Here is a 10,076-nt window from a genome sequence, read left to right as displayed (position 1 = left end):
TGCGCATGCGCGAAGGAAGGAGCCCCGCGAACTCAACTTCCCACAGTGCCCCGCGTCCGGAAGTGCCTGTCGCTTGGAGACGGAGTGACTCCAAACGGGCTCACACGGTTTTCTGAGAAACATAAAGGGAAACCGAATCCACCAATATATATATATATTTTCTTGAGACGGCGTCTCGCTCTGTCACCCAGGCTGGAGTGCAGTGGCGTGATCTCGGCTCACTGCAAACTCCGCCTCCCGGGTTGACGCCATTCTTCTGCCTCAGCCTCCCGAGTAGCTGGGACTACAGGCGCCCGCCGCCACGCCCGGCTAATTTTTTTGTATTTTAGTAGAGACGGGGAGTCACCGTGTTGCCCAGGCTGGTCGCGAACTCCTGAGCTCAGGCAATCCGCCCGCCTTGGCCTCCCAAAGTGCTAGGATTACAGGCGTGAGCCACCGCGCCCGGCCCACCAATACTCAATTGGTTTGACTTCAGTTGAGGAAACCAGAAAAAATTTAAATATATTTATGGAAAGAAGGTAAGAATTAACAGAAAAAAGTAAAGTTGATCCATAACTGGAGTCGTAGGGAGAATTATAGGTAAGTCACGATGCTTATGACAGCAAGATGGGGCCGGGGAGATGGAGGAGAGAGATGAAAAAAGAGAAATAACCATAGACACATAGGAAATTGAATGAAAATCCGCTCTATACTAATAAATTTGATAATTTGTGACACAAATGATTCTCCAGGACAACATGGGCCAAATTTGACCCAATTTTATCCACAATTTGAAGACAAATTCAGAGATCCTTTGCCAGAAAGCATCATAATGAGTTGCTTAGTGAATTGCTTCAAACATCCAGTGATTAGAGAATTCTTATATTTATTCCCAGAGGTAGAACTCACCAGTGAAGTACTAGCATAAAAACAGACGCATGGACCAATGTGGAACAGCGTAGAAAAACCAGAAATAACCCCATGCATATACAGTCAACTAATCTTAGGCAAGTCAACTAATCTTGTGTCAAGAATACACGATGGGGAAAGGACAGTCGCTTCAATAAATAGCGTGAGGAAACCGGATATCCAAATACTGCTACGCAAAAGACCTCATTGCCCGATGTGCACAGAAGCCAATACTATGGCACCAGGCGTTTGAGAAAAGAAAAGCTTAATTGCGAGTTGACCAACAAAGTGACAGGAGTTTAGTTCAAATCTATCTCTCTGTGCTGCCCTTAAGGCAGCACTATTGTGAAAAAAGGTTTAGAGGGTGGATTCTGGGATTCACAGGTGAATGGTGAAGGAAAAAGGAAGTCTGGAAAGTCCCCGACCATGTGCAGTTGTCTCTTCAAGCCTCTTCTTGGGTCCCATGTGCAAATTAAGGTAGAGTTAGTGTGAAAAGTGCAGTGGAAATTCAGGCTGCGACATCAGCAAGCTCATTCTGCATGGACTCCGTTTGGTTATATTGGTTTCAACTGATTTCAGCCAGTTGTATTATATTACAAACGGAGTTTCAGCAAACTGTTTCTTATCTGCCATCCTGTAAGCTCAAGAATTTCTGTTAGCCGGACGCGGTGGCTCACGCCTATAATCCTAGCACTTTGGGAGGCCGAGGCGGGCAGATCACCTGAGGTCAGGAGTTCGAGACCAGCCTGGCCAACATGGTGAAACCCTGTCTCTACTAAAAATACAAAAATTAGCTGGGCGTGGTGGTGCACACCTGTAATCCCAGCTCCTCGGGAGGCTGAGGCAGGAGAATCGCTTGAACCTGGGAGGTGGAGATTGCAGCGAGCCGACATCGCGCCACTGCACTCCAGCCTGGGCGACAAGAGCGAGACTCCATCTCAAAAAAAAAAAATTCGTTAGTCACTGGTTTCTTTAACTATTTGGGGGCATGGTTTCACAACTTCTTCTTCTTCTTTTTTTTTTTTTTTGAGACAATCCCTCACCAGAATCTAGGCCTTTTCTAACCTGCTCCTCCAGACTCTTCCAAACTCTGCCCATTACCCAGTTCCAAAGCCACTTCCACATTTTCAGGATTTATTATTAGCAACAGCCCCACTCCTCAGTACCAATTTTCTGTCTTAGTTTATTTTCTATTGCTGTAACTGAATACCTGACACTGAATAATTTATAAAGAAAATGAATTTATTTCTTACAGTTCTGGAGACTGGGAAGTCCAAGGTTGAGGGACACTTCTGGTAAGGACTTCCTTGCTAGCAGGACTCTCTGCAGAGCCCCAGGTCAGTCCAGGGTGCACACTGTGAAGGGGGATCAAGCAGCCGAGCCCATTTCTCTCTTTCTCTTCCTATAAAGCCACTAATGCCCACCCTCATGAGCTCATCTAATCCTAGTTACCTCCCAAAGGTCCCACCTCTCAATTGCCATAGGCAGCTTTCCCACTCTCCTAACACTGTTACAATGGGGGTTAGTTGCAACGTAATTTTCAGAGGGCATAGACATTCAAATCATAGCAGTATATATCCAAAATAAATAAAATTAAAAGATATCTCAGCGATATCTGCACTCCCCTGTTCATTGCAGCATTATTCACAATAGTGAAGATGTAGAAACAACCTAAGCATCTATCAAAAGATAAAGAAAATGTAGTATACGTACACAATAGAATATTACTTGGCCTCAAAAAAGGAGAAAATTCTGTGATTTACTACAACATGGATGAGCCTGGAGGACATTATGCAAAGTGAAATACACATAGAAATACACGGATACAGAAAGAAGATACTACACGATCTCACGTAGATGTGGAATCTTAAAAAGTCGAACTCATAGAAACAGTGGAAGAGTGGTTACCAGAGGTCAGGTGGCAAGTAGGGGAAATGAGGAGATGTTGGTCAAATGTTTTAAAAAGAGAACAAACTTGCAGTTATAACATGAATAAATTCTGGAGACCTAATGGACAGCATGGTGACGACAGTTAATAATATGTTGTACGCTTGAAATTCACTTAGAGTAAGCCTGAAATACCCTAATCACACATACCTAAAGGGTAACTATGTGAGGTGATGGATACATTCACTGGCTTGATTGTGTCAGTCACTTCACAATGATATATATATATATATATATATATAAAGATCCCATTGTCATCTTGGATACAATTTTATCTCATTTTTTTCTTTTCTTAAACATTTTATTGATTTTATAGAGGGATTTCTTTTTTTGTTTGCATTTTTCCAGCTATTGGGAGAGTGGCTGAGTACTGAGTCTATCACTACTTGGATGATACAGGTAAGACTCCAGATTCACATTTCCAAGTACTAAGAGTTCCTCTAAAATGCCACAATCCAGCCGGTCTTCATTTACATTTCTGCTGAACACAGCAATGCCCACTGGTATCTCTGAAGTGTAATTGCACCTTAGGTCGGCATTTCTCCAAGTAAAGCAGCTGTTTGGAATTGAATGCTCCCCTTCTTTTTTGTCTTATAAACTGAACTGCATCTTCATACTTAATTCCATATTCAAAGCAAGCGCTGCCAGCACAGGTGCCCTTCCCAATCCCACAGCACAATGCACTGCAAGGCAGCAACCTGGCTTTTCACGCCCTTTAGTGATTAACAGGTTTAGCCAGTCATCTGCTATCTGATTAGGTGGTGGAGCTTCATCGTCAAAAGACCAATCTAAAATATGGATTCCTTCTTTTTCAACTGGAACTTTACCAAATGTAGCATCACAAACTCAAACCAAAGGTGTCACTCCACACGTCTCACATTCCTCTGTGAACTTGTTGCAGTGGCACTGGTAGACTTGTGGGTTATGAGAAAATGCATGTTCCTGTAAATCTCCACAGGGGCTGAACAGTCCATTATGGCAAAGAAAAAGTGTGAGCATGTGTGTGAGTGTAATGGGGAAAGTGAAAAAAAATCAATAAATCTTGAAATGTTTCACAGCAGAAAACTTTTTAATGTTTTATTTTTAGATCACTAAACTGCCTATTGATCAGTGTTTTTTCTATTTAACTTGTCTATTCCTTATGAAGCTTCTGTCTTCAAGATAAGCAGAATTGTTCAGAATCCACTGGAATCCAAATTCAACTTGGGCCTCAATTTCTGCAGATGGACACCTCTGGACTCCAAAAAATCCAAGGACATAAAAAACTTAAGCAGCCTTTATTACATTTAGTTCAACAAGTTTAAAGTGTAGGTCACTTTCCACTTTTGTTTACTTGATGCTTAATTTTACTGGAATCGTTAAAAGAAATATACTTGCAATTTTTTTAAAAAGGTATCTATTTCTGAGGCCAGTCTTGGTGTCTAGAGTTTTCAAGGTAGTATTAATGACAGCACGTAGAACCTCAAAGCTCATTTGTCGGTGAAAATGCTGTGCTAAGCCTGGCAGAAGTCTGCTCCCACACTCAGAATCACCATAAATGTGCAACATCACCAGAAAGTGCTGGTGTGCTGGGCACTGGGCATTGGAGTTGGGGATGGCTGCCCCAGCCTCTGTACACGACACCTGGCCTGGTGGATCCAGAGTTAGTCTTGCTGCCCAGCTGCCACTCCAGCCACTCCCTAGACACAATTTTAAATTGTCAGATATACCTTTAGTAAAGCTGAAAAAACAATTCCAGAGGAATTAAAAGGAGGAAAATTTTCTATTTATTAAATAGCATAAAGATACCAAAATTGATGAATGTATGATTTGAAAAGAAACCTCAAACTTAAGATTATGCAAGCATCAATATTGAGAAGTTATTAACAGAGAGAAGCTGGCAGTGCATTGCTAAAATATACTATAAGCAAATGGATTCTATTCTAGAAACACAAAGTTGATCAGAAAATCTACTAATATTACCATCGCAGTAAGTTAAGGGGAAAATAAAATCACTTCAATTACATGAAAAAATTAATTTTAAAATATATTTTAGATTTTATAAAAATAGCAAATTTGTTTGCTACCTTAACATGATAAAAAAAGAAAACCATAGGATTTTAACCGTAAAGCCAGTGTGCTTCTTAATGGTAGAATATTAGGAGGAGTTAGGAACAAGATATGGATACTGACTTACATCAGGATTTTTAAAAATTGGACTAATATTAGAAATGCAGAAACTGCAGATAGCGAGTTTCAGTGGTTACTGCTGACACACATTTCTATACATTGGGGGGTTGTTTCTTAAGTTGTCCATTTTTTTTTTTATGCATGGGAGGCATATGGAAAGACAGAGGTTTGCTGACTTCCGGGAAAAAGGAAATTAAGAAACCAACTTATTAACTGTGGCTAAGTGCAGTGGCTCACACCTGTAATCCCAGCACTTTGAGAGGCTGAGGCAGGAACATCGCTTGAGGCTGGGAGTTCAAGACCAGCCTGGGCAACATGGCGAGACTCCCCATCTCTACAAAAAAAATTTTGAATTCCAAAACAAGAAATCAACTTAGCCTGGGATAAGGTCTTGCCTATTGCCCTGCTTACAGTAAGAGTCACCCTAAAAGCAAGCTCCAATTAGGCCCCTATGAAATGCTTTATGAGCAACCCTTCCTTAAAACTAAATTTTGTTAAAATTCCTAAGACAGTCATATTGTAAAAGAACTAGATACCAAAAAATATGTAGAGTCTGGCCAGGCACAGTGGCTCAGGCCTGTAATCCCAGCACTTGGGGAGGCCAAGGCGGGTAGGTCATGAGGTTAGGAGTTCAAGACCAGTCTGGCCAACATAGTGAAACCCTGTCTCTACTAAAAATACAAAAAATTAGCCAGTTGTGGTGGTGTGCACTTGTAATCCCAGCTACTCAGGAGGCTGAGGCAGGAAAATCGTGTGAACCCGGGAGGTGGAGATTGCAGTGAACAGAGATCACGCCATTGCACTCCAACCCAGCCAACAGTGTAAGACTCCATCTAAAATATATATATATAATATATATAAATATCTAAAATATATATAAATATGTATTATTTATATATATTAATATATATTTAAAATGATCTTATCCGTTATTTTATCCATCCAAAATAAATAAATAAATAAATATATATATATACACACACACACACACACACACACACACACACACACACACACAGTCTCTGGGTGCAACTTTGTTCCTATAGATGTTCTTTGTTCCTACAGATGTTCTTTGTTCCTATAGATATTCTTTGTTCCTATAGATGTTCTTTTACAATGCCCTAGCCCAGGAGACCAAGTACCCCTTCAAATCTGGAAAAATCACAACCCTGAGCACCAAATACAGCCCAAATGGAATGGACCCTTATGAAGTTCTCCTGGTAACTCATTCATTCATAAAGTTAAAAGGAGTCAAGCCCTGGGTTCATCAATCACCAGTAAAGATTGTACCTGTCCACTGCACTCCAGCCTGGGTGACAGAGCAAGATCCCATCTCCAATAAAAAAGTAGTATGTGATCATATTTAAAACTCTCTGCAACCCGTCATTACACAGCTTACACTTACCACAGACAACAGGAAGCAGTAGGGCCAAGTCATCCAAACCCCAAATGGCTGTAGAAGCCCAAACTAACTTCTCCACCCAGGAATACACTTGTGAGCCCCTAACTGATCACCCAGGAATACATTCGTGAGCCCCTAACTGATCACCCAGGAATACATTCGTGAGCCCCTAACTGATCACCCAGGAATACATTCGTGAGCCCCTAACTGATCACCCAGGAATACACTTGTGAGCCCCTAACTGATCTTCAGTTACTTTTCAGAAAAAAACAAAAGACTGAAAGGGCTCTTGGATCCCCAGATAAATGAAAAGCCATTTATCCATATTTTCATTCCTTTTAGAGTCTAAAACCAGCCTCTGCCTGATCAAACTAGAAGGCCAGAAACAGAGGGCAGCTGAAGGAAACAGCTCACTCAAGATGCCAACCAGGCCTCTGTTCATGCCATCATGGATAAGATCTATTTTTGAGGGTCTAATTAAGTTAAGAACTATAATTGTATGTATGTTGGGATTCCTTTTCCTTCTTGTCAAGGTACAGATGGAGCAGAGCTATCTTGTATGTCAGTAGCCCCACTCATGCATTCTTTGTACTCAGACCTGCGTGACTTGAAAGCATGAAGTAGCTAGAATGGTCATCACCCCACTTCCCTCAAGATTGAGGAGTGCACAAAAAGGGGGGTACCTGTAACTGTGGGACCAGCTCAAACAAATTAACCATTTCTTAAGTTGTTGCAGGTACACACACAGCCAAAATTGCCTTGGCACATGCAATGCAAAAAGCTTTAATTTCTAATTGTTATCATCACCAGCCTGACAGGCCTGCATTGGCATCATCTGGGTCTAGCTGGAAATGCCATAAAATCTTGACCCACCCCAATCACAGAGACAGATCTGAGCATTGCCTCTTGTCTCCTTGCCAGTTGACTTGGTATAAAGCTTTTTTTTTTTCTTCCTCAAAAGAGGGAACCATAATGTTGGCTTCTGTGCATGTTGTAAAGTAAGCCTATTGCTCAGTAACAAATATATCTTTCCATTTTTTCTTTTTTCTTTTTTTTTTTGAGATGGAGTCTCGCTCTGTCACCCACGCTGGAGTACAGTGGCGCAATCTCGGCTCACTGCAAGCTCTGCCTCCCGGGTTCACGCCATTCTCCTGCCTCAGCCTCCCAAGTAGCTGGGACTATAGGCGCCCGCCACCACTGCCAGCTAATTTTTTGTATTTTTAGTAGAGATGGGGTTTCACCATGTTAGCCAGGATGGTCTCGATCTCATGACCTCGTGATCCACCTGCTTCAGCCTCCCAATGTTAGCCAGGATGGTCTCGATCTCATGACCTCGTGATCTACCTGCTTCGGCCTCCCAAAGTGCTGGGATTACAGGCGTGAGCCACCATGCCCGGCCCATTTTTTAGTTTTTCTTTTACAAACTTTAAAACATTATTGTATTCATAATTTTTCAGTTTATATGTGGTTTTTGGAAGATTTATTCCCAGACAGTTCTCATTTTAAATTTAACATTTTATAAGATATATTTCTAAGTAGCTTATTTCTATTGCTATAATGAATATGAGGGTTTTTTATAGTATTTTTTGTTATTGTTGTTGGTTGTTTTTGAGATGGAGTCTTACTCTGTCACCCAGGCTGCAGTGCAATGGCATGATCTTGGCTCAATGCAACCTCCACCTCCAGGATTCAAGTGATTCTTCCATCTCAACCTCCCAAGCAGCTGGGATTACAGGCGCTCGCCACCAAGCCTAGCTAATTTTTTTGGTACTTTTGTAGAGATGGGGTCTCACCATGTTGGCCAGGCTTGTCTTGAACTCCTGACCTCAGGTGATCCACCCACCTCGGCCTCCCAAAATGCTGGAATTACAGGTGTGAGCCGCCACACCCTGCCTATAGTATGTTTTCTTATTGGAAGTTGGTGGAATCATGGACTGAATGTGCCGCTTAAGTCATATATTGAAGCCCTAACCCCCAGTGTTGCTGTACTGGGAAGTGGAATGTTTAATAAAATAATTAAGGCTAAATAAGGTCATGAGAAGCCAGGAGTGTTGGCTCACGCCTGTAATCCCAGCACTTTGGGAGGCCGAGGCAGGCGGATCACCTGAGGTCAGGAGTTCGAGACCAGCCTGGCCAACATGGTGAAACCCCGTCTCTACTAAAAATACAAAAATTAGCCAGGCGTGGTGGTGGATGCCTGTAATCCCAGCTACTCAGGAGGCTGCGGCAGAAGAATTGCTTGAACCCGGGAGGCAGAGGTTGCAGTGAGCCAACTGCGCCATTGCACTCCAGCCTGGGCGACAAGAGCGAAACTCTTAAAAAAAAAATGTTATGGGATCTTTGAGGTGTCACTTTTCTTGTCAGGAACCTCTGTGGCCAGTGGCACCTTTGCTCGAGTTTTGCTCAGGCTCGCTGGGCTCATTCTGCCCCCTTGGCCTAGCATGCTGTTCTCAGCTCACACTACCAGCCCAGATCCCACACCTCTAAGGGAGACTGAGAGTCAGGTGTGGAGCAGCAAGGGGTGTGTGAGCAAGCATGGGATTCAGCCACTGCACCGACACACTGGCTGCTGCTGTGGGGCAGGCAGCTCCAGGTGCCAGCAGGGGTGCCAGCTCTCTGTGAGGCTGCGGCTGGACTAGGGACACCACAAGCAGCTTCCATGGCTGGCACTGGAGAATGCGGTGTTGCCCAAAGGCTTGGAGACCCCAAACACCACAGGTCCCCAAAGAGGAAGTCACAGCCCTGGCTCAAAGATCTCCCAGGTCTGGGCTCCTCGAAGGGCTGAAGCTCTTCTCTTTTTCTCTTCACCCACAATGTGGCAAGCAAGGGGCATGTTTCAGCTGTGTGTGTTACAGCTCTTTCAGCCTTGCCATTCAGCGGGTCCTGAGTTCTTGTCCTGCGACCAGAAAGAAGTAGGTAGGCAGACAAGTGAGGGTGAGCAAGACGAAGGGGAGCTTTATTGAGTGATAGAATAGCTCAGAGGAGACCGCAGGGGGCAGCTCCTATCTGCAGCTAGCGTGTCCCCCAGTGTTTAGCTCCTTGCACAGAGGGTACCTCCTCTCTGCAGCTGGTTGTCCTGACGAGGGCTCAGCTCTCAGCAGAGAGGAGGCCCTAGAGTGACTGGCTCCTCTCTGCAGGCAGATGGTCCCCCATCTGATCACCTCTGGCTGAGCCTGTGGTTTGTACGGGTCTGAGAGAGGAGGAAGTGCTTGCCGATTGGTTCATGGGCGGCCATGGACGGCCAGGAAAAGGAACCATAGGTTCCCACTCCGGGTGGGAAGCTGGAAGAGTGGCTCAGTCCAAGTACCAAGGCCTCAAAACCAGGGAAGCCTGTGGCATAACTCCCAGTTGGAGGCTGAAAGCCCAGGAACCTTAGGTTCTGATGTTGAAGGGCAGAAGAAGATGATGTCTCAGCTCCAGGAGAGAGAGAATTCACCTCTCGTCAGCCTTTTTCTTCTGTCTGGGCCCTCAACAGATTGGACAGTGCCCACTCACATTGGGTGAGGGTGAATCTTCCTTACCTGATTCAAATGCCAGTCTCGTCTGGAAAAACCCCCACAGGCATAGCCAGAAATAATACTTCGCCAGCTATCTGGGTATCCTTTAATCCAGTCAAGCTGACACCTAACATTAATCATCACAAGATCTTGCTTGCAAATAACCACAAACA

At 43.8% G+C, this 10,076-nt stretch overlaps 1 long non-coding RNA gene and 1 pseudogene across 1 annotated transcript, besides 1 other annotated feature; one reads left to right on the top strand and one right to left on the bottom strand.

The window, feature by feature from the left end:
* Positions 65-4,628, top strand: ZNF84-DT (ZNF84 divergent transcript). The gene is made up of 3 exons (NR_110091.1): positions 65-518; positions 3,184-3,234; positions 3,983-4,628. It is a non-coding gene; the product is annotated as a ZNF84 divergent transcript (long non-coding RNA).
* Positions 72-161: an enhancer, noted in NCBI's record as "active region_7397". NCBI's record gives its function as "activates an Ori minimal core promoter by ATAC-STARR-seq in GM12878 lymphoblastoid cells {active_cell/tissue: GM12878}" and the evidence as "EXISTENCE:reporter gene assay evidence [ECO:0000049][PMID:35858748]".
* On the bottom strand, positions 3,107-4,381 carry PTP4A1P2 (PTP4A1 pseudogene 2; annotated as a pseudogene).
* Positions 4,629-10,076: the final 5,448 nt, after the last annotated feature.

This window comes from Homo sapiens, chromosome 12, assembly GCF_000001405.40.
Source record: "Homo sapiens chromosome 12, GRCh38.p14 Primary Assembly".
Classification (NCBI taxonomy): domain Eukaryota; kingdom Metazoa; phylum Chordata; class Mammalia; order Primates; family Hominidae; genus Homo; species Homo sapiens.
This window is presented reverse-complemented; position numbering and strand designations above follow the sequence as displayed.